The 26021-nt window shown below is 36.4% G+C and overlaps 1 protein-coding gene across 22 annotated transcripts in view; it reads right to left on the reverse strand.

The window, feature by feature from the left end:
• RALGAPA1 (Ral GTPase activating protein catalytic subunit alpha 1) overlaps nt 1-26021 on the reverse strand; it is a 270940-nt gene that overhangs the window by 86327 nt on the left and 158592 nt on the right. For all 22 annotated transcript variants that reach the window (NM_194301.4, NM_001346246.2, NM_014990.3 and 19 more), the window contains 4 exons: nt 10782-10916; nt 9892-10075; nt 2408-3269; nt 679-750 (listed from right to left, as the gene is read on the reverse strand). In NM_194301.4, the coding sequence (NP_919277.2) occupies nt 679-750; nt 2408-3269; nt 9892-10075; nt 10782-10916 (1253 nt within the window). The remainder of the gene's footprint in view (nt 1-678; nt 751-2407; nt 3270-9891; nt 10076-10781; nt 10917-26021) is intronic.

Consider the following 26021-nt stretch of genomic DNA (forward strand, 5'->3'; position numbering starts at 1 on the left):
ATTGTTTGATGTGGGAATGGTCTGAATCATCTTACTCACTATGCATTCCTATGGGTAGCTTTTTTCAAACTTGCTTCCCAATCTGTCAGAATCACTGGATTTAATTAATGAGAGATGTGACTAAGGTTTGCTTAAACATGGGAAAAACCAAAGGCTATTTTACAGGTCCAGTTAGTTTTCTGTGATTCAAAAGATGATTCTGAAATGCATAAAAAAGGCATAAACAAGCCAGGCGCGGTGGCTCACGCCTGTAATCCCAGCACTTTGGGAGGCCGAGGCGGGCAGATCACAAGGTCAGGAGATCGAAACCATTCTGGTTCACTCAGTGAAACCCCATCTCTACTAAAAAATACAAAAAAAAGTTAGCCGGGTGTGGTGGTGGGTGCCTGTAGTCCCAGCTACTCCGGAGGCTGAGCGGAGATCATGCCACTGCACTCAAGCCTGGGTGACAGTGGGAGACTCTGTCTCAAAAAAAAAAAAAAAAAAAAAAAGGCATAAACAATTCAAAGACACCCAACATTCTATGCAGTCCTAAATTTTCCTTAAAAAACTTTTGCTCAGAAAGTTATAAATCAATAACACAGTATTATATACTATTTAAAATATTATTCACAGTATTATTCTAAAAGAGAAATACCTGAGAGTTGCTAGTTATGTGAAGATTTTCCAACAACTTACCACTGCCTTGAATCCAAGTTCCTAAGTTCTCTAAGTAGCTTTTCATTTTTCTTCAGGAGATGAAAGCTCCTCCTAAATAGAGAGATTTATAAACATTTTCATCACCTTTGCAGTGAATGACAAGACAGTCCCGGAAATACTTTCCACTCTACTCATGCAACTTTTCTACTTTTCTTGCCTTTTCATACTTCTAACACAAAGGAGAACAGACCCTAAAAAAAATGTAAAGAATATACGTCATTATTTCCACCAGGTGTTCATACATTTCTGCTAGTGGATCATATCAATTGGCCACTTGAATCTTTCCTTGCAGATGTTGTGAGCCTCCTAAACTCATATCCAGGAAAATGGATAAAAGTACTTTGTATTTCTTTTCAAGAGTCTCATAAAAATATGTGAGAAAGTTGTATCTCATGAGAAATAAAATATTCACAGAATCTATATCATTATCAAGTAAGCAAGTGTAATCCAGATGGAATTTTCTTTCTTCCTTGTTTTATAATTTTTAGACTACAAAGCAGTGAATAATTTTACCAAATCCCTTCCATGGGTGCTAAATATGTACAAATTATTTTCATAAAATCAATGCTTGCTGAAGTAAAATACAGCTTCTCATCTTTAATTTTTCCCAAGGGACAACATACGGACCATTCTACAGCAAAAGAGAGTAGAATGCATTTATACCATAACTGACATAACTGAGTGGCAATTACCTATATTTGGTCATACCATATGGCAAACTGTTCCTGAGATATAACATTTCCTATAAGGCAGAGGATATTCTCTTCTAATAAACGGCTTTCCTATATTCCTTATTCCCTTCTAATAAGAGGCTTTCCTATAAGGCAGAGGATATTCCCTTCTAATAAGCGGAAGAGTTTTAAATCAAGTAAGAGTATAAACACTAAGCAAACAAGCAGATCTCTATTTCAATGCTTGACATACATTTGAATTACTTTAAGATTTGTTCGTTCACTGATATCTGAGCTTCCCCTCCTACCATAAATTGACAGAGACAATACATTACCCCTCCTTCCACTACCTACAGGGTTTCATGACATAGGAATTAAAACCTAAATGTATATTAATAATGCTTTACATTAGTGTACAATGCCAGTGTTTTATATACATTATCTGATTTAATTCTTCCCAGTATGTGAGGTGGGTACTACTCTCAATTTGTAGACTGTAGCCTGAGGCTCAAAAGTTAAGTAACTTTAAGCTAGGTCTTCTGATTTAAGCCCATTGTTCTTTTCATTTAGCTCCTACCTAACTTACTTGAATACCTCATGAGTTTATTGTAAGTTTTTAATAAGGTTTTGTAACATGCATCAGAAAACAAAATAATTTTTAAAACTTCAGATTCTTTTTTTGATTTGACCTTGAATCCTGAGTTAATTTCCCTGATTCAAACCGGAAATAATCATATTGCAGTTTCTAAAAAAAAAATTATTAGGCTTACATGAAGGTTGAAAAATGAGCTATAATTTCTAAGTCAAATAGTTCCAGTAGTTATTTTGAAAATATTGATAATTTGCTGGATTATTTTATTCCCCTGAATCCCAATATAACTCAGTGGTCTCAAAAAAAAATCTGCAAAAAAATGAGTCAAAGAACTAATTGGTAGATAAAATTTAGTGAGGAAAAGAACAGAAAATAAAATGCTTTATCAGAAGATGAATAAGACCGAAAAAAAAAAAAAAAGAAAAAATTTCTCCCTTATGCTTACCGTTTGTCCCAGGAATTCATTCCCAATATACTAAGAAGCAATCTGCAATAATAAAATGCTGACTGAGGTTTTTGAGGTATTGGTTCATCTTGTTCCACAGCTTTCATGTTTAAGTCATTAAAGTGCTTCTCAACAAATTCTTTTTCTTCTGTATGTTGCTTAAGGATAGCATTAATAACATCATTTTCTTGTTTTTCAGAAATGCACACAGGTTGTGGAGCAGGAATATTAAGTGAGATTCCAGTTCTCTGTAAGCATTCAGGACTAGTAACACCCAAATACTGCAAGAGCTCATCAAGAACATCTTCTTCATCTCTTATTGTATCCCAAGTTGGTACAGTTTCTCTAAATCTTTTAAACTGGAGAGAAAGTCCATCTTTTACGGTTATATCTTCTAAGCATTCATTAGATGTCGGAGGCTCTTCTGGCTTCTCTTGGTGAGACAATGAAAGCATGAAAGATGTAGGTTCTGACAAGCCACTTACAGGAGGTGGGCCATACAGTATAGCAGAATCCCATGAATATTTTCCAGAGAGATCACGTACTATGATTCTGACATTTGAATTGGCTGATGCAAGGCCAGCAGATAAACCTCCTCCAGGCATATTCTCTTCTGATCTGATCTGGATACAGGACACTAAGGTTGTATTATTTAACACAAAGAACTGGATATTTGGACTCTCAAAGAGTTCAGGAGAAAGTTCAGTACTTTCACTGTAATGATTGTCGTGATTTTCACACACCTGACTTGTTAGCATAGCAGGACCACCGCTCATTGGATAATGGCCCAGGTGATTTACCAGATGTGTAATAACAGTGCGGGCTGCTATAGAGATTAATCCATGCTGCATTTGAGTTTTCACTGGAAATAAAAAATATAAATGAATGGGAATATTGCTGCTTCCTAGGGAATCATATGACAATGAAATATTAGACAACAAATAGGGATTTTATCACATTGTTAATATTTCCAGTTTAGATTCCATAATACAGTAATGATGGCAAAAAAGGAGGAAAACCATTCTTTGATGAAGTTTTGTTTATAAGGAAGACCTTTCTGAAATTTTTGCTAATGGGTCCATAATTTAAACCAAGGCCTTTATATATAGATCACTTTGAAGAATCAGAAGTATTATAAATCAATCATGAAATCACTAATGCACATTAAAAAGCCAAAGACGGCCAGGTGCTGTAACACATCTGAAATCTCAGCACTTTGGGAGGCTGAGGCGGGAGGATTGCTTGAGACCAGTCTGGGCAACATAGGGAGACTATGTCTCTATAAATAAAAATAATAATAGTAATACTAAAATTAGCCCAGTGTGGTGGCCACTGTACTCCAGCCCAGGTGTCAGAGCAAGACCATGTCTCCCACAACAACAAAACAAAATAAAACAAAAAACAAAAACAAAAACATAATGAAATCTGTTCAACTGATAAGTTTCTTATCTCCATTAATAGATTCCAGATTCAGAGACAGTTTGTAGATGCCTTAAATGTCATTTAAATCTGGCTTTTACAGATAATGTAAAAATGTTTCAGAAAAGGTGACATTCCAAGTAAACTCCGGGAATCAGAATAAATTTAAACAGCAAGTCAGTATAGCTAGTACCTGTATGCAAAAGAGATTTTATTTTAAAAGCAAAAATATTTGCTGGATCTACTTATATTTTTCTAAGGTATTCTTCAGGTCAATGTGGTACAGTCTAGCAGTCAGTTGTATGCAAGAAATATTTTTTTCCCTCAAGTACAATACAGAGGAAAACAGGTAAGAAGCATATTCATACGAGTAACTAAAAAAATCATAGGAAACAGTCAAAAGAGAAAACTCAAAGAATATAGTAGTTTAAGAGGCCTGGAAAGGCAAGATGCCCAATGTCAGAATCTGAAGGAGGAGGAAAAGGGAGGGGAGGGGGAGAAGGAAGAAGGGAACACAGAGACAGTAACGAGGTAAAGGAGAAAGGAGACAGACAATAATTTGTCAAAGCCAACTAGTTAAAGACCGCCATTCTAAGGAGGGCTAAAGACTGTGATTCTGAGGGGTGTTGATGTGGAAGCCAGTTTGGGATTGAGTGGTGTCAGGAAGTAGGGACAACTAGCTGACTGTTATCTTAATGCGTTTCATCTAAGAGGTAGGAGGAGAGTTGTTTTTGGTAAAGAAGCATTAGTCATTCATGTTAGGATGTTTAGGGGGTGTGTGTGTGTGTGTGTGTGTGTGTGTGTTTAAAACATTCTTGTCTCTACTTAATTTTAGACATAATTACAGAGTGATTGTGTTTCTGTATTATTCTACCACAGTAACAGAGTGATCTTGTCTTGAGTATTTATATTCTCTGACAGTTAATTAGTTGGGAACACCAGGGCCTGTCAGAACAACTAAGGATTTGTCAGAATAAATACAAATTTATTTATTTATTTATTTTTTTATTTTTGAGATGGAGTCTCGCTCTGTCTCCCAGGCTGGAGTGCAGTGGCGCAATCTTGGCTCACTGCAACCTCCACCTCCCGTGTTCAAGCGATTCTCCTGCCTCAGCCTCCCAAACAGCTGGGGACTACAGGCGCGCACCGCCACGCCCAGCTATTGTATTTTTAGTAGAGACTGCGTTTCACCATATTGGCCAGGCTGGTCTTGAACTCTTGACCTTGTGATCCACCCACCTAGGCCTCCCAAAGGGTTGGGATTACAGGCGTGAGCCACTGTGCTGAGCCAAATACAGATTTAAGAATGTTCTGATTTACATACATGCCCAATTTTATGTGTTTAGTTTGATGACTTTTGGTAATTATATATAATTGTGTAACCACCAACATAATCAATATAAAAAATTCCCTCATCAAAAAAGAATATTTTATTTTATGTAAACTATACCTCAATAAACCTAACTTTAAAAAAAAAGGGAGACCAGTTTGTGCACTGATGGTATAATCACTTTAAAAGAGGCAAGAGAAAAGAATAGTGTTACATTTTCAAGGCTTTAGCCTTCAAGATTCAGAACCAATACCACTGGGTATAGGCAAACCAACCAACCAGCTGCTATGCCATTGATGTTAATACCATCTTCTCCAATTCCAAAAAAGAATAGTTTCCTTTGGGCTTTGGTTGATTTTAAAATGTTGCTGAGTATCAAAATTTTAATTTCCCATTATCAGCCAAGTTATGTCTACATAAATGTAAATATAAACATTTCTTAGCTTATTTACTGGTTTTTTTTTTTTGGGACAGAGTCTTGCTGTGTCACCCAGGCTGGAGTGCAGTGGCACGATCTTGGCTCACTGCAGCCTCTGCCTCCCGAGTTCAAGCAATTCTCCTGCCTCAGCTTCCCAAATAGCTGGTATTACAAGCATGTGCCACCACGCCTGGCTAATTTTTACATTAGAGAAGAGGCTTCACCATGTTGGTCAGGCTGGTCTTGAACTCTTGACCCCAAGTGATCCACCAGCCAGGGCCTCCCAAAGTGCTGGGATTACAAGTGTGAGTGACTGCACCCACCCAACATTTCTTAGTCTAAAAGTTCCAATTAATGGCTGGGTGTGGTGGCTCACACTTGTAATCCCAGCACTTTGGGAAGCTGAGGCGGGCCAATCACCTGAGGTCAGTAGTTCGAGACCAGCCTGGCCAACATGGCGAAACCGTGTCTCTACCAAAAAATACAAAAATTAGCTGGGTGTGCCTCAGGAGGCTGAGGCAGGAGAATCACTTGAACCTGGCAGGCGGAGGTTGCAGTGAACTGAGATCGCGCCACTGCACTTCAGCCTGGGTAACAAGAGTGAGGCTCTGTCTTAAAAAAATAAAAAAGAAAATAAATAAATAAAAGTTCCAATTATATTGAAATTTTTAAAAGTTATTTTTATGATTATTACTAATAACCAGCCATTCAATACTAGATTAATAACACTAAATGATTAACTTTAATTCAATCCTTCATTTTTAAGAATGTAAGGAAAGTAAAAAGTATTTTGAGCTATATGACAAGAAATAGGTAGCTTGAATCTAGTGTTTGCTTTCCCTTCCCTAATTATAACCTAGAATATAATAAATGTTCACACTATAAGGGGATAATCTAGCTGGTATTCCTCATTTTGCACATGAGGACAAATGGGTTCGCAAAGTTAAGTGATTTGCCTGCCATAGGAGATGTCTTTTGCTTCCCAGCTCAGTGTTATTTCCCTCTTTACCACAGCTCTAATTTCCATACTTTTTTCTCTTTTGTTAAACTGTCTTTTTCTTTATGAGATATGGAAACAATGAATTCAAAATTTATTTTTCTCTCTGTATAAGAACTTCAAAAAAGTATTACTTAGGATAAATTACTAAATAAAAAGCAAAGATCAATGGAAAAAAATCAAGACTAAACCGAATTTTAAATGGTAACAAAAATTAAAATTAGTCATTTTAAAATTTTTGATATAGAAAAAGATTTTTCTATTCTTCACTCTCCCTTTTGAGTGACATACTTAAATAGATGACTCATTCTAAGCATTAAATCCTCTTTGCATAACATAGAAGTTTACACTCTGAAGAAGGGAAAGAGTATAATTGAAAAGAAACCACCATAGAAAAGAGAAGAATCCCTGGCTTTGGCTTGCTCTGTGATTCATGATCACAAATACATAAGATTCCTTAAACTCCATTTTTCTGTAAGAATTGCATACTTATTTGTAAAGATGAGTTAAAAACTTTTACATACAAAACTGGATATAACAGAAACAATAAAAAATCATTCAATTTAAAGAGCATTATAAGTAACATAGGTCTTATGAGTTTCTTTTTCAAACCTACTTATAAATAAACTCCAAGAATGAGCCAGGTCTTTCCCTAAAACATAAACCTCGAAGCTCAGGTACCAGAGTATCCCATATGTCTTCTTCCCAAAGGTAGAGACAATGAGAATGCAGTTTAAATGAGCTTGTTCACAAGTCTGTCATAATTACTCACATTGAAAACACGTAAAGAATAAATTTAAATCTCAGATGTAGGTAAAGCATTTTCTGCCCTAAGTTGCTTCTCTAAATTCAGGATATATGTCTGTATATAAAAGGATAAAAATCTCTCAAATTGTTTATTGGGCAATAAATTTATTTATACTTATTTTTGAGCTATAAACTATAGAACATACATATCTCTCTTCTACTTATCTACTAAAATACAAAGAAGACATGAAATTCTCTAGTTTAGATATTTAAAATAAAATTCTAAAATAACCAGTCTTGTGAGAAAATGTAAAATGGAGATATCGATGCTTCTAAGGCTTTGTGTAACTAGCATTCATTTAAATAACTCTATTCAGGGTTGTCTCTTCAGATTGTCAGATTAAACAAATCCTACAGCATTTGCAGCAAACCCATAATTACAGATTATTATGGCGTACAAAAGCAGCAAGACATAAAAAGCTGCTGCAATTCACTGCACTGTAATAGAACATGCAGAGGAAGTTAATTTTGGCAAATGCTTTAAATATTAGCTTTGCATAATAAGTATAGGTGAAACTATAATTAGGACAGAATGAATCCTTTGGAGCCTCCTTTCACTCTGACCCGGCAAATGATGACTTTTTGCTAATAAGACTACTGCCATTTGACAAAAAGCCAACTTCACTACCTTGCTTTATTCTTTAGTAAATTTAATAATTACAGCCACTCCTGACAATAGTTCTCAAATCAGACTTGTTCAATCCAGTACTGAGCTTATTAGGGACACTCAATGTTTAGAATTCTTTGGCCAAAAAAGTACTTGAAGATGATGAAACATGCCTTAGACAAGGGCACAATGATCACTCATTTTCACCACATTAAAAAACACCCAGAGCATGTAGTCACTACAGACCAGAGAATCATGTGCTGTTAGCTCACAGCTGTTCCTAAAAGGTTCTGCATTTATCTGGTCCTTAAAACCTTTGAGGAAGTCCAAAGGGAACAACTTGATACGTTTAGAGAAGGGTACTGCACAGAGTATTTGATATCAATATTAAGCTAATCTATTTACATCTTTTCCTTTGCTTCTTTTACAGTGACTGATATTGGCACAGTAAATTTTGTACAAAATCTAAAATTAAAACTTCCTTTGAAATAAGCAAACTCTATTGCTTTGTTCAAGAAACATACTATATTGTCTTGAATAAAAACTGCCATTTTATACCTTAAATGTGCAAAGGTCAACTATTATTTTCACATAACCATATTTTTAAGTAAAATAAACATGGTATCTTATTACGTCAAATCTAAAAATATAATTTTAAATTGCTTATATAAATTTTGTCTAATTGTTTTTTGCTTTATACTGCTTGTTATACCTCTTTTATATTTGAGAAACAATTTAAATCTTAAATTCCTATTTCAATAGTGTATTTATGTTCTAGACAACCTATCTGTACCTTCTGGGTTAACTGGCCAAATCAATCTAATATACCAGGAGTCAGTACACTTTTTCTATGAAGGGCCAAATAATAAATACTTTTGGTTTTGTGAGCCACGCAATCTCTACTGTTACTCAATACTGCTGTTGTTATACAAAAGTAACCATAATGACAATATGGATGTATCACAATAAAATTATAAAAACAGGCGGTAGCAATGGGCCATAATTTACCAACTCCTATAAAATACTATTATCAAAAGTGCTCTTAATATAAATTGTATCCTCTATCTCCCTTTCTTAAAACCTTCAGCAATTGCTGGGTTCCTCTACTTTACCTCTATATCTTATATATACTTCTATTGTTACACTCCTATTACATTATAAGGTTATTTGCTTCTATTACATCTTTCTCTTCTATCAGAGAGAGAATGCTCTGAATGCAGAAACGTGGCTTAAAAATGTTACTGAGTTAACTATGTACTAAGTAAGGATTGTACAAAGGGCTTTACATATATTATCTTACTTAGTACTTAAAAAAACCTTAGAGGAAACTAATATTTGCATTTTACAAATAAGAAAACAGATATTTAGCAATTGAGAGTCAAAATTCAGGTCAGACTCCAAAGCTATATTTTTTATTCTATATAAATTCCATTATATATAAAATATCAAAAAGAACTTCTAAGAATAATTTAGCCAGAAGTACATGTTGAGTATCCCTAATCTGAAAATCTGAAATCCAAAAATTTTGAGTGTTGGCATGATGCTCAAAGGAAATGCTCATTGGAGCATTTCAGATTTTGGATTTTCAGATTAGGGATGCTCAACTGGTAAGTATAATGCAAATATTCCAAAAGGTGAAAAAATCCAAAATCTTTAACACTTCTGGTCCCATGCATTTCAGATAAGGAATACTGAATTTGCATAAAAGCAATGTCAACATATAATATTAGTAATTGTGCATGTGAAGTTATTTCTTTAATTAATAATGAACTTGTGCTATACATACATGGTTAAACAACTACAAAGTAAGACATACTCTCCTTCTCCAATATTTCCACCCATGGCCTCAAGTTATACCTTGAGAGAACCCAAGCAACAATATTGTCCTGAACAGAATTCATGTTACCTTCTGTTACTGGCTGGAGTTTAGAAGATCGTTCTGAGTCAGGAGAGTGCAGAGGCTCAGGCTCTTTCAGACTTTCCAAATGCATAAAAGGATCATAATCTACAGATGCCAAATCAGAGAGGCTCATGGGAAAATACCTTGGATTGCTAAAACACTGAGCTCCATAAACACACCCATGTAAAACCTGAAAATACAGGGGGAAACACCCAGTTTTACTTAAAAAATAAATAAATAAATAAAAGTTAAAGGAGGATAAAAATCAACTGGTAACACAAGAGCCTGGCAAAGATTTTAAATATTTTAAAACATCAGGCCTGGCACAGTGGCTCATGCCTGTAATCCCAGCAGGGATTACAGGGAGGCCCAGCCAGGTGGATCACTTGAGATCAGGAGTTCCAGACCAGCCTGGCAACATGGCGAAACGCTGTGTCTACTAAAAATACAAAAATTAGCCAGGTGTGGTGGTGGGCGCCTGTTATCCCAGCTACTCAGGAGACTGAGGCAAGAGAATTGCTTGAATCCAGGAGACGGAGGTTGCAGTGAGCCGAGATTGAGCCATTGCACTCCAGCCTGGGTAACAAGAGTGAAACTCCGTTTCAATAAAAGAAAAAAAAAAATCAAGGTAAAATTCAATACCTCTTACAAAGAATGACTAAAATTAAATTATACTCATATGTAACAATGATCTAATTCCTCTCAAAATTTTGCAATGAAACAACGGTGTCTTGTAGGAAGCACTTTTAAATTACCCTTAGGCACTGTAAGCTAAATATGTGTTCTTAGAAATTTTCTAGCTCTAAAAGAATAAAAATGTTATACTGAGAAATGTTATTTCTCTAGGTTTTAAAAACTCTTGGTTACCAAATAAATAATAAAGCAAGGAAGTTTACCTTATAAATGCAATTGAGAACAGATTTTTCTGTTTTATCGCTTTCTGCTCCCGTAGCATGAAATGGTTGGAGCAGTGTCTTTAGAGGTAAGGCCATGATCCAGTCCAGAAGGCAGAGAAGTAAAGATACTACCAACTGTAACAACAATAGAATCATTATAATTGTACATTCATAAAATATATGCTTCTTAAAAATTCATTTTCTTATTCTTGAGTTTCCAAAATTTGTTTCTGGAATCATCAACCCTAAGTTCCACTATTAATATTTACCCAGATCTAACTGATTTTAAGATATTGTATATGAACATTATTGTGGGTTTCTCTTTCATATGTCAGGGCAAGCATAATGAAACAGTAAGCATAATAAAAACAGAAATGTTAAAATTAATATAAAAACAGCAAGCTTAAAAGACAACACATATCAATTAACTATACTTATTCCATTGCACAAGGAATGGAACACAAATGGAAGTCCATATATATTATAATCACTTCCACTTTCCTTTTCTAACTTAACAACATCTCACTGAATAGCCTGCCAGTAAGACTACCTTAAGTACTTTTTGAAATTGTTACTCATTTTACTAAATGAATCCACTGAACACGCTTTTTTGTTTTTGTTTTTTTTCAAAGAGAGGGAGTCTTGCTATATTGCCCAGGCTGGCCTTGAACTCTTGGGCTCAGGCAATATTCCAGCCTCAGACTTCCAAATAGCTGGGACTACAAGGTGCACACCATCATGCCTGGATGGACACTTTTAAACTAATGAATGCTATAAACAGGTCACTTTTTATACAAAATGTAGAATACAATAGCAGAATTCATTGTATTAAAGAATCACAAATAGTGCCATGAAACTGACAATGAAATAGCAACAAGAGACTTGCTAATCTTTAAAAACGAACTCTCCAACTCAAGTAATTCTGGTCTACATCTCCCAACATATCTTCCAAAAAATAAATAAAATAAGGAACAATAAGAAGGCCCAATAAAACCTCACAAAACAACAGCTTCCATATTATCAGAAGACAAAGAACATCCAAACTTCAAATTATCTATTTTTTTAATTTTTATTTTTGAGACAGTCTTGCTCTGTCACCCAGGCTGGAGTGCAGTGGCATGATCTCAGCTCATTGCAACCTTCACTTCCTGGGTTCAAGTGATTCTTGCACCTCAGCCACCTAAGTAACTGGGATTACAGGCATGTGCCACTGTGCCCGGCTAAGTTTTGTATTTTTAGGAGAGACGAGGTTTTGCCACGTTGGCCAGGCTGGTCTTGAACTCCTAGCCTCAAGTGATCTGTCTGCCTTGGCCTCTCAAAGTGCTCAGATTACAGGCATGAGCCACTGCACCGAGCCTCGAATTATCTGTAAGTAGAAAAATATGCAGCAAATCCCAGCATCTTTCTCCCATTCTCCCACTGCAGGTTTTCATGAAAAGCAAGGGTAGTTTGGGAAAAACTGTGAAAGAGAGAAGATGGGAACTTGCTGTGAATCTAAGACTGATCTAAAACCATGCCAGAAAGAAAAAGTCCACCTTAAGTGTGAGAATATTAAAAAAGTATACTGGTAGATCAGAGTAGTGAGTAAAAAGAAAGGATGTAGAAGTACACATAGGAAAGGTAATGCTTAGGGGGAGAAGACAAACAAACCCAGACTGCGAAGACTATGATAAATACCTAACTCTTCAATGCCCACACACCAATGAACATCAACAAACATCAAGACCATCCAGGAAAACATGACCTCACCAAATGAATTAAATAAGGCACCAATGACCAATCCCAGAGAGACAGAGATGTCACCTGACAGAGAATTCAAAACAGCTGTTTTGAAGAAGCTCAATGAAATTCAAGATAACACAGAGAAGAAATTCAGAATCCTATGAGATAAATTTAACAAAGAGATTGAAATAACTAAAAAGAACCAAGTAGAAATTCTGGAGCTGAAAAATGCAACTAGTGTACTGAAGAATGCATCAGAGTTCTTTTAATGGCAGAACGGATAATGCAGAAAAAAGAATTGGTGAGGCTGAAGACAAGCTATTTGAAAATACACAGTCAGAGGCGACAAAAGAAAAAAGAAGAAAAAAGAATAAAACACACCTATAAGAACTAGAAAAGAGCATCAAAAGGGTAAATCTAGAGTTATTGGCTTTAAAGAGGAGATAGATTGGGATATAAAGTTTATTAAGAAGGATAAAAACATAGAACTTCCCAAACCCAGAGAAAGATATGAACACTCAAGTACAAGTAGGTTATAGAACACTAAGCAGATTTTATCCAAATATGACTACCTTAAGACATTTAATAATCAAACTCTCAAAGGTCAAGGATAAAAGGATTATAAAAGCAGCAAGATAAAAGAAACAAATAACATACAATGGAGCTCCAATACATTTGGAAGCAGACTTCTCAGTAGAAATCTTACAGGCCAGGAGAGAATGGCATGACATATTTAAAGTGCTAAAGGAAAAAAAACTTATTCTAAAATAATATATCCAGTGAAAATATCCTTCGAACATGGAGAAGAAATACAGACTTTCCCAGACAAACAAAAGCTGAGGGATTTCATCAACACCAAATCTGTCCCACAAGAAATGCTAAAGGGATTTCTTCAGTCTGAAAGAAAAGAATGTTAATGAGCAGTAAGAAATTATCTGAAGGTCCAAAACTCACTGGTGATAGTAAGTAAACAGAAAACCACAGAATACTATAACGCTGTAATTGTGGTGTGTAAACTACTCATATTGAAGTAGAAAGATGAAAAGATGAACCAATAAAAAATAATAACAACAACTTTTCAAGACATGGACAGTACAATAAGATATAAATAGAAAGAATAAAAAGTTAAAAAGCAGGGGGATTAAGTTAATATGTAGAGTTGTTATTAATTTTCTTTTTGCTTGTTGTTTATGCAGTCAGTGTCAAGTTGGCATTAGTTTAAAATAATGGGTTATAAGATATTACTTGCAAGCCTTATGGTAACCTCCAATATAAACACATACAATGGATATAAAAAAAATAAAAAGCAAGAAACAAAACCATAATACCAGAGAAAATCACCTTCACTAAAAGGAAAACAGGAAGGAAGGAAAGAAGGATGAGAAGCCTGAAAAACAACAAGAAAATAAATAATAAAGTGGAAGGAGTAAGTACCTACTTATCAATAATACCACTGAGGCTGGGCACGGCGGCTCACACCTGTAATCCCAACACTCTGGGAGGCTGAGGTAAGCAGATCACCTGAGGTCACGAGTTTGAGACCAGCCTGGCCTGCATGGTGAAATCCTATCTCTACTAAAAAACCAAAAAATTAGCTGGGTGTGGTGGTGTGTGCTTGTAGTCCCAGCTAGTTGGAAGGCTGAGGCAGGTGAATCGTTTGAACCCAGGAGGTAGAGGTTGCAGTGAGCTGAGATTGCGCCGCTGCACTCCAGCCTGGGTGACAGAGCAAGACTCTGTCTCAAAAAGAAAGAAAGAAAAAAAAAGAATAAAAAATAAAAACCACTGAATGTAAATAGACTAAACTCAATCAAAAGAGAGAGTGGCTGAACAGATTAAAAAAATAAAACCCAACGATCTGTTGCCTACAAGAAACACACTTTGCCTATAAAGACACACATATAGTGAAAATAAAGGGATGAAGATGTTCTATGCAAATGGAAACCAAAAAAAGCAGAAGTAGTTACACTTGCATCAGACAAAATAGATTTCAAGACAAAAAAGGTCATTATGTGATGATAAAGGGATTAATTCAGCAAGAGGATAAAACAATTATAAATATATATGCACTCAACACTGGAGCACCCTGATATATAAAGCAAATATTATTAGAGCTAAAGAGAGAGATATATGCCAATACAATAATAGCTGAAGACTTAAACACCACACTTTCAGCATTGGACATTTCATCCAGACAGAAAATCAACAGAGACATTGGACTTAATGTGCAGTATGGACCAAATGGATATTTACAGAACATTTCATCCAATGGCTGTGGAATGCACATTTTTCTCCTCAGCATCTGTAACATTCTAAAGGACAGACCATATGTTAGGCCAAAAAATAAGTCTTAACATATTTTTAAAAATTGAAATAATATTAAGTATCTTCTCTGACCCCAATGGAATAAAACTAGAAATAAAAAATAAGAGGAATTTTGGAAACTATACAAACACTTAGGAATTAAACAATATTGGCCAGGTGCGGTGGCTCGTGCCTGTAATCCCAGCACTTTCGGAGGCCGAGGTGGGCGGATCATGAGGTCAGGAGATTGAGACCATCCTGGCTAAGACGGTGAAACCCCGTCTCTACTAAAAATACAAAAAATTAGTCGGGCGTGGTGGCGGGCACCTGTAGTCCCAGCTACTCGGGAGGCTGAGGCAGGAGAATGGTGTGAACCTGGGAGGCAGAGCTTGCAGTGAGTCAAGATTGCACCACTGCAGTTCAGCCTGGGCGAGAGGCTGAGACTCTGTCTCAAAAGAAAAAAAAAAAAAAGAAATTAAACAATATCTTCCTGAATGATCTGTGGGTCAATGAAGAGATTAAGAAAAAAACTGAAAGTTTCTGGAAACAAATGATAATGGAAACACAACATACCCAAACCTATAGGATACAGTGAAAGCAGTACTAAGAGGGAAGTTTATAGCTATAAGCACCTACATCAAAAAAGCAGAAAAACGTCAAGTAAACAACCTAACAATGCATCTTAAAGAACCAGAAAAGCAAGAGCAAACCAAACCCAAAGTAAGCAGAATAAAAATAATAAAGATCAGAGCAGAAATGAATAAAACTGAAATGGCAAAAATACAAAAGATCAATGAAATGAAAAATTGGCACATGAAACAAAAAATTGATTTTTTAAAAAAGATAAAATTGACAAACCTTTGGCCACTAAGAAAAAAAGAAACAAGACTCAAATAAAATCAGAAATGAAAGAGGAGACATTAAAAACCGATACAGCAGAAATTAAAAGATCAACAGAGCGGCTACTATGAACAACTATATGCCAATAAACTGGAAAACCTAGAAGAAACGGATAAACTCCTAGACACATAAAATCTATTAAGATTTAATCATGAAGAAATGCAAAACCTGAACAGACCAGTAACATATAACAAGAATAAAGCTGTAATAAAAAGTCTGTCACCAAAGAAAGGCCCAGGACCCAATGGCTTCATTGCTAAATTCTACCAAACATTTAAAGAACTAATACCAATCCTTCTGAAACTATTCTGAAAAACAGAGGAGGAAGTATTTCCAAACTCATTCTATGAGGCCAATATTACCCTAATATCAAAATAAAAGACATCAACAAAAAGAAAACTACAGGCCAATATTCCTGATGAACATTGATGCAAAAATCCTCGACAAAATACTAGCAAACCAAATTCAACAATGCATTAGAAATATCACTCACCATGACCAAGGGAGATTTATCCCAGGGATTCAAGGATGATTCAACATACACAAATCAATCAATGTGATACATTTTTGTCAACAAAATAAAGGACAAAAACCTTTGTGATAATTTCAGTTGCTGCTGAAAAAGCATCTGATGAAATTCAACATCCCTTCATGATGAACACCTCCTCCCCTCCCCCCACAAAAAAACTGGGAAGGAACACACCTCAACATAATAAAAGCCATATTAGGACAGACCCACAGGTAGTATCATTCTGAATGCAGAGAAACTGAAATCCTTTTCTCTAAGATCTAGAACAAGACAAAGGTGTCCACTTCCACCACTATCATTTGACACAGTACTGGAGGTCCTAGCTAGAGCAAGCAGACAAGAGAGAGAAATAAAGGGTATGCAAATTGGAAAGGAAGACATCAAATTATCCTTGTTTGCTGACGATATGATCTTATATTTGGAAAGACCTAAAGACTCTATCAAATAACTATTAGAACTGATAAACAACGTCAAATTCAGTAAAGCTGCAGGATACAAAATCAACATACAAAAATTAGTAGCATTTCTATGTGCCAACAGTGAACAATCTGAAAAAGAAATCAAGAAAGTAATGCCATTTCCAATAGCTACAAATGAAATTAAATAGTTCGGAATTAATCTAAGAAGTGAAAGATTTCTACAATAAAAACTGTAAAACACTGATGAAAGAAATTGAAAAAGACACGAAACAATGGAAAGCTATTCCATGTTCATGTATTGAAAGAATCATTATTTTCAATAATCATGTCCATACTACCCAAATCAATCTATAGGTTCAATGCAATCCCTATCAAAATGCCAATGACATTCTTTATAGAAACAGAACAAACAATCCTAAAATTTATATGCAACAATAAAAGACCCAAAACAGTCAAAGCTATCCTGAGCAAAATGAACAAAACTGGAAGAATCACATTATCTGATTTCAAATAATACTACAGAGCCATAATTATCAAAACAGTATGGAACTGGCATAAAAACTGACACATAGACCAATGGAACAGTATAGAGAACCCAGAAACAAATTGTACATCTACAGTGAAGTCATTTTAAACAAAGGTAAATAATATATATTATGGAAAGGACAGTCTCTTCAATATATGGTGCTGAGATAACTGGTTATCCACATGCAGAGGAACAAAACTAGATCCCTAACTCCTGCCATATATAAAAATCAAATCAAAACGCATTAGAGACTTAAATCTAAGACCTCAAATTATGAAACTACTACAAGAAAACATTGAGGAAACTCTTGAGGGCATTGGACTGGGCAGATTTCTGGAGTAATACCCTACAAGCACAGGCAACCAAAACAAAAATGAACAAATAGGATCACATAAAGTTAAAAAGATTCTGCACGGCAAAGTAAATGGTCAACAAAGTGAAGAGACAACCCACAGAAGGGGAGAAAATATTTACAAAATAATATGACAAGCTATTAATAACCAGAATATACAAGGAACTCAAACAACACTACAGAAAAAATTCTAACAATTTGATTTAAAATGGGCTGAAGATCTGAACAGACATTTCTCAAAAGAAGACATAAAAAAGGAAAACAAGTTAATATGTTCATATGACTATATGAAAACAAGTTCATATGAACACATATGAACTTATGAAAAGATGCTCAACATCATCAGAGAAATGCAAATCAAAACTACTAAATACAATGAGATATCATCTCACCTCAGTTAAAACGGGTTTTATCCCACAATGAGATACCATCTCACACCAGTTAGAATGGTGATCATTAAAAAGTCAGGAAACAACAGGTGCTGGAGAGGATGTGGAGAAACAGGAACACTTTTACATGGTTGGAGTGTAAACTAGTTCAACCATTGTGGAAGACAGTGTGGCAATTCCTCAAGGATCTAGAACTAGAAATACCATTTGACCCAGCCATCTAATTACTGGGTATATACCCAAAGGATTATAAGTCATGCTGCTATAAGGACATATGCACGTGTATGTTTACTGTGGCACTATTCACGATAGCAAAGACTTGGAACCAACTCAAGTGTCCATCAATGATAGACTAGATTAAGAAAATGTGGCAAATATACACCATGGAATACTATGCAGCCATAAAAAGGATGAGTTCATGTCCTTTGTAGGGACATGGATAAAGCTGGAAACCATCATTCTGAGCAAACTGTCGCAAGGACAGAAAACCAAACACCGCAAGTTCTCATTCATAGGTGGGAATTGAACAATGAGAACACTTAGACACAGGATGGGAAACATCACACACCAGGGCCTTTCGAGGGGTGGGGGGAGGCGGGAGGGATAGCATTAGGAAATATACCTAATGTAAATGACGAGTTAATGGGTGCAGCACACTAACATGGCACATGTATACATATGTAACAAACCTGCACATTGTGCACATGTACCCTAGAACTTAAAGTATAATAATAATAATAAAATAAATAAAATAAAATGGGTTTATCCAAAAGACAGGCAATAAATGCTGGCGAGGATGTGGAGAAAAGGGAACCCTCATACACTGTTGGTGGGAATTTATGTTAGTACAACCACTATGGAGAACAGTTTCGAGGTTCCTCAAAAAACTAACAAAGATAACTACTATATGATCCAGTAATCCTACTGCTAGGTATATACCCAAATGAAAGGAAATCAGCATATCTAAGAGATACCTACATTCCCATGTTTACTGCAGTATTATTTACAATAGCCAAAATTTGGGACCAACCTAAGTGTCCATCAACAGATGAATGGATAAAGAAAAGTGGTACATATATGCAAGGGAGTACTATTCAGCCATAAAGAAGAATGAGATCTTGTCATTTGCAACAAGATAGATGGAACTGGAAGTCATTATGTTAAGTGAAATAAGCCAGGCACAGAAAGACAAACATTGCATGCTCTCACTTATCTGTGGGAGATAAATATGAAAACAACTGAACTCATGGAGACAGAGAATAGAATGATGGTTACCAGAGACTGGGAAGGGCAGTGGGGAGTATGGGGTAAGTGGGGATGGTTAATGGGTTCTAAAAAATAGAAAGAATGAATAAAATATAATATTTGCTAGCAAAACAGAGTGACTATAGTAAAAAATAACTGAATTGTACATTTAAAAATAACTAAAAACATATAATTGGATTATTTTGTAACACACAGAAAGGATAAGTGCTTGAGGGGAAGGATACCCCATTTATCCTGACATATTATGCACTGTATGTCTCTGTCAAAATATCCCATGCACTCCATAAATATATACACCTACTATGTACCCAGAACAATTTTCAATAAATAAAAAGATGGGGAAGATCTCTATGAACTTACGTATTAAGGATTTCCAAGATACACTGTCAAGTGAAAAATCCAAAGCAAAGACTATCTAGGCTATGTGTAACAAACAAGGAATAAAAGACGATATACATGCATCTGTTCATTTGTGAAAAAACAATCATAGGATGGATGAACCATAGACTAAAAAAATTAAAACAACAGAGATGGGACAAAGACCCTAAAACTGCATACAAACAGAAAAAAGTGACCTGAACTGAATTTCAAGGTAATTATATAACCATACTGAAGTGGGAAAGGGGGACTACGAAGTAACCCAAATAACTTATGAACACATTTTTCAAACAATAATCTCTCTTGGTAAAGACAAGCACTCTTAACTATAAAGAGGCATAAGTTAATAATTTAAAAAAATAGAACAGCACAAAGAAGTAAACATATCCAGATAAATAATCAATATGGAAACCAGATTTTTCATTGCTGGAGCAGGGAGTTACAAATAAGGAAAACGGGGAAGGATGGACTGAATCTCGTGGTGTTGGATTAGACGTGGAGGTGTCAGACTGGGGCCTGTTGGTGGGGGAAGGTGAGGGAGAGCATCAGGACAAACAGCTAATGCATGTGGTGACGGGTTGACAGGTGCAGCAAAACACCATGGCACTTGTCTACCCATGTAACAAACCTGCACATTCTGCACATGTATCCTGGAACTTAAAGTAAAATAAAATAAAATAAGAATTGGAGGTGTCAGTGTGAACTCAAGGTTTTTAATACTTATAATTAGATACCATCTTATTCTGTCTGTGCTGGCATTACAAATACTTTACACTGGGTGGCTTAAACAAGAGAAATTTATTCCTCACAGTTCTGAAAGCTAGAAAGTTGAAGATCAAGGTGGCAGCCAATTCAGTATATGTGAGGGTCCTCTTTCTGGCTTGTTAGATGACCACCTTCTAGTGTATCTTCACACGGTGGATATTAGTTCATCTCTCTTCTTATAAGGGCACTAATCCCATTGATGAGGGCTTCATCCTCACGACCTAATTACCTCTCAAAGGCCCCACCTCCAAATCCCATGACACTGGGCATTAGGATTTCCATATATGAACTTCGGGAGAGACACAAACATTCAGTCTATAGCAGATATAGAGATGGGTGTGTGTGTGTGTGTGTGTGTGTGTGTGTGTGTGTGTGTGTGTATATGTTATGTATTTCCTAGCTGTATCTGCCAAAGAGGACTTAAGAAACGATACCCCAGGCCGGGCGCAATGGCTCACGCCTGTAATCCCACCACTTTGGGAGGCTGAGACAGGCAGATCACGAGGTCAGGAGATCGAGACCATCCTGGCTAACACGGTGAAACCCCGTCTCTACTAAAAATACAAAAAAATTAGCCAGGCGTGGTGGCGGGCGCCTGTAGTCCCAGCTACTCGGGAGGCTGGGCAGGAGAATGGCGTGAACCCGGGAGGCGGAGCTTGCAGTGAGCCGAGATCGCGCCGGGGCACTCCAGCCTGGGCGACAGAGCGAGACTCCATCTCCAAAAAAAAAAAAAAAAAAGATATCCCAGTAGCAATGTGCATGCCTAGTTCTTAGATACTGATTTCTAAACACCATTTGCCACTTAACGGAAGCAGGGTTTCTTGGAGAAATGGGTAATTTCAGGGCTGGGACAGGGAAAGCACAAAGTGAGTCTGGAAAATTGTGTGCTGACAGAAATTAAAAGCATGCCCCCAAAATAATGGGGATTTATGAAAAAGAAGCCACTTTGAAGGGGCTCCCACTGGCTAAGTATGAGACATTTTGAGCACCAAAATAAATAATAGTTAAGGATTACAAATCATTGCATAAAATCAGAATCATGAGCCCACATTGAAATAAGATGAATAAGAAAGAAAGGAAAGCTCTTCCTTATACGTAGAAAGCTAACTAATGAATGTAGAAAAAATGATGAATTAGGAAATCATCATTTGGCAGCTACTGTAACAATAATTGTTTCTGGTAAGAGTCATTAATGATTAGCAAAACCAGTTAGTGGAAATTTAAGGAGTCAAATATTTATATAGTATAGTCTCAAAGTATTGTCTTACAAATACTAATTCATTGAAAAGGATTAAACAGTAGCTTTACAGTGGGAACACCTGGCAGACACAACCTTAATCATTTGACTGAAGTTAGCACCAATCAGTAATGAAACAAACTGACATCTGTGACACCTGATATAATGTATTAAGAGGTGCACAAAATCTTCTGAGGTATTCCTGCCAAATACGCCTAATTTAAATCCAATAATAACAAACCTAATCATGATGAAACACAAAGCCAAAACGCAGGACATTTTATACAGTAACTAGACTGTATTCTTTAAAATGTCAAGGTCAAGAAATATAGAAAGATTAAGAACCTGTTCCATACTATAGAAGGCTAAAGAGACATTATGACTGCATGTAAGGCATAATTTGGGAATTTCTTTTGCCCTACAGGATGTTAGTGAGACAACTAGTGAAATATCTATAGATTAGATAATACAAATGTATCACTAATACTAATGCTAATTTCCTCATGTTGACAACTATTTTGTGGTTATATAAGAGAATTGCTTGATTTTAGGAAAAACACAATAAAGTAGTCAGCAGTATACACATTTATTTCTCTCTCTATTTCATACTACATACAAAGGGATAAAGCAAATGTGGTGAACCAATATAAATAATTCTTTGTACTACCCTTTCAATGTTTCTATAAACTTGAAATTATGTTAAAAGAAAACAATTCCACCATAAAACTCAAATGGAAGCTCTCAATTGATGTTTCTAACTAAAAACAGTATGGACTTTGGCATCTATCTGTCAATCACAGATTCCAGTCTTGGCTCTGATATTTAGTAACAATTTTGTGACCTTGGGCAACTTAACCTTTCTAAGGCTCAATTCTCTATGAAGAATAGGGATTAAAAAATATTTATCAAGATTATAAAGTTGTTTTGATGTTGAAATAATGCATATAAAGTACACACTGCTGGCACGTGATTTTAAAAAAAAATCACTATATAAATGTTCTTTTTGCTTTATTTTTATTGAATTTATCTTTTAAAACCTGTTAGCCCAAGCCCATATTCACCAATGACAATGAGCCGTTTGAGAAGTCTAAAAACTCCTGGCCCATATACAGTTTATTCAAGTTCTTAAACATTTGAGGTTAAGGAGCAGCAATCTGAATATCATACATGAGAAATGCCTCCCTATACTGGTGGCTTGCATGAGATTAAGAGTTCCTAGAGAAATAATAACATAATTAAAATGATTCAATATATCTATTTGTCCATATGTAGTGTGCCAGCTTCTAATAAAAGATAATAAAAACCCAATTCAAAAAAATTAGAAGATACTGGAATGCAACATAGTGGAGAAGAACCAGTGGATTTAGGTAATATTCTGATGTTCATCACACAGAGAGGAATGTATAATTATAAAGAGGTTTAAGGGCAGGTGTGGTGGCTCACGCCTGTAATCCCAGCACTTTGGGAGGTCCAGGCAGGTGGATCACCTGAGGTCAGGAATTTGAGACCAGCCTGGCCAATATGGTGAAACCCCATCTCCACTAAAAATACAAAAATTAGCATAGTGGTGTGTGCTTGTAGCCCCAGCTACTAGGGAGGCTGAGGCAGGAGAATTGCTTGAACCTGGGAGGCGGAGGTTGCAGTGAGCTGAGATCACGCCACTGCACTCCAGCCTGGGTGACACAGCGAAACTCCGTCTCTAAATAAATAAATAAATAAATAAGATGTTTAAGATAAAGCATATTTGAGGCTGGGTGGGAAGGCTCACGCCTGTAAACCCAGCACTTTGGGAGGTCGGGCGGGTGGATCACCAGGTCAGGAGTTCACGACTAGCCTGGCCCATACGGTGAAATCCCATCTCTACTGAAAAAAACAAAAAAAAAAACCAACCAAAAAAAAACTAGCAAGGTGTGGTGGCATGTGTCTGTAGTTCCAGCTACTTGGGAGGCTGAGGCAGAAGAATCACTTGAACCCAGGAGACGGAGGTTGCAATGAGCCGAGATTGTGCCACTACATGCCAGCCTGGGCAATAGAGGGAGACTCCTGTCTCAAAAAAAAGAAAAAAAAAATTAGTTGGGCATGGTGGCGCACGCCTGTAATCCCAGCTACTCAGGAGGCTGAGGCAGGAGAATCACTTGAACCTAGGAGGCGGAGATTGCAGTGAGCCGAGACTGCACCACAGTATTCCAGCTTGGGCAACAGAGCAAAACTCCATCTCAAAAAAAAAAAAAAGAAGAAGAAGAGTGAATGATAGGCTGGGCACAGTGACTCACATCTGTAATCCCAGCACTTAGGGAGGCCAAGGCGGGCGGTTCACTTCAGCTCAAGCTCCTGAGCTGAAGTGACCAGCTCCTGACCAGCCTAGGCAACATAGCAAAACCCCATCTCTACTAAAAATACAATAATTAGCTGGGCATGGTGGCGTACGCCTGTGGTCCCATTTTGGGGGCTGAGGTGGGAGGATCACTTGAGTGTGGGAGGTGGAGGTTGCAGTGAGTCTAGATTGCGCCACTGTACTCCAGCCTGGGTGACAGAGTGAGACCCTGTCTCAAAAAAAACAGTGAATAAAGTCTGAGATCAAAAAAGCATTTTCGGGATGATTTGATTGTCTTCTATGTGATTACTCTCTCCTAGACCTGGTGTTCTTCCTACCTTTCCTACTAGTCCTTTCAGTCACTTTTACTGAATCATCTTCTCTGCCTTCTCCTTAACTGTTATTCTTTAATGTGCTATACTTTGCTAACTCATCTTACTCTACTATATCGCCTTAAGTGATTTCATATATTCTCACAATGTTAATACTACTCATGTACTGACAATGCCAATAATTTTATTTCCAGCATCAAATTTTCTAATCAGGTATATAATTGCCTTGCTGGTGGTCTCCACCTGGAGATTACTTTTTATATGCAACAAACTGAGAACTGAAACTCACTGCTCCAACAAAGCTGCTCTTTCCTGTATTCCTCACCTTGGCTGTGGGTTCTACTTTGTGAGTATCTATTCTCTATTCCTTTAGCCTTAGCTCAGAACGTCATCAATTCTTATAAAGATGATTTTAATAATAATCACCATATTTTGACTTTTAAGTCAACTTTCACATTTTCTCAAGTGATTTTTCACAAATCTGGTCATATTTTATCCTACATAAAAACCTTTCAAAAAAGTCACTTTCACAGAAGTACCACGTTCATAGTGTGGCATCCAAGGCCCTTTATAATCTGGCCCCTTCCTATCTTAGAAACTTTATTTTCCCAACTCTTAACTGTCCACTTCACATTCTAAAATATGGAACTGCCTAGTTGTTTCTCCAAAACAAACCATACTATTTTATAGTCCCCAGATTTACACATGCTATTCATACCACTTGGAATAATTTTCTGATTCTACTGTTTGTCTCTATTTATGTCTCTATTTAACTTTAAAAGAATTTTTCCTAAATATGCCTTTCCCCAATAGTTAATTACTTCTTTCTCTATTCTACCTTGTATCTCATACATTTTTCTACTTTTTATACTATTTATTATATTGTGTTGCCTCATTTGTGTCTCTAATTTTTAAATTCCATGAGAACAGGGAGTATCATGTTTACCTCTGTTTAGTGCCTAGCAGAACGCCACACTCATATTTTATGATAAATAAATGTTTAATAAATTTAGTGGGCAAGAAAACAAAAACTTAGAAGTATAGCTTTTTCATATTAATAGCTAGACTTCTGGAAGACAAAGATGATATAGAAAAAGATGAACAAGTAGTTATCCAGAAATTATTCATAAACTGGATTTGGAATTCTACACCATAGCCTGCGACACTAAAGCGAAGGATTCTTGGCTAAAAATGGAGGCCGGATGAGGTAGCTCACGCCTGTAATCCCAGCACTTTGGGAGGCCGAGGCAGGTGGATCACTTGGGGCCAGGAGTTTGAGACCGGCCTGGCCAAGATGATGAGACCCCCCCGCCCCCGACACATCTCTACTAAAAATAAAAAATTAGCCAGGCATGGTGGTGTACACCTGTAATCCCAGTTACTTGAATGGCTGAAGCACGAGAACCGCTTGAACCTGGGAGGCAGAGGTTGCAGTGAGCCGAGACTGTGCCACAGTACTCCAGCTTGGGTGACAGAGTGAGATGACTCCGCCTCAAAAAAATGTTAAAAATTTAAAATAAAAAAAATAAAAATGAAGTATATGTCTCTTTTAAAGATGAAGATGATGATGATAAAGTATTTATCAAGAGCTAAACAATCTGTTCAAATGGTGTTTAAACTGAATATGAAGGGAAAGAATAAAAAGTTTTGAGGTAAACACATGAAATCAGTAAGAAATGATAATGGCAGACAGTAGGAAAAGAAAAAACTATGAAAGCCTCATGTATGCCACACAAGAAAATAACTGGGAATAGGTCCAGAAACATAACTATAGCTTCAGATTTCTGTAAATTAATAAGAACATAAGCAG

The sequence above is a fragment of the Homo sapiens genome, chromosome 14 (assembly GCF_000001405.40).
Source record: "Homo sapiens chromosome 14, GRCh38.p14 Primary Assembly".
Classification (NCBI taxonomy): domain Eukaryota; kingdom Metazoa; phylum Chordata; class Mammalia; order Primates; family Hominidae; genus Homo; species Homo sapiens.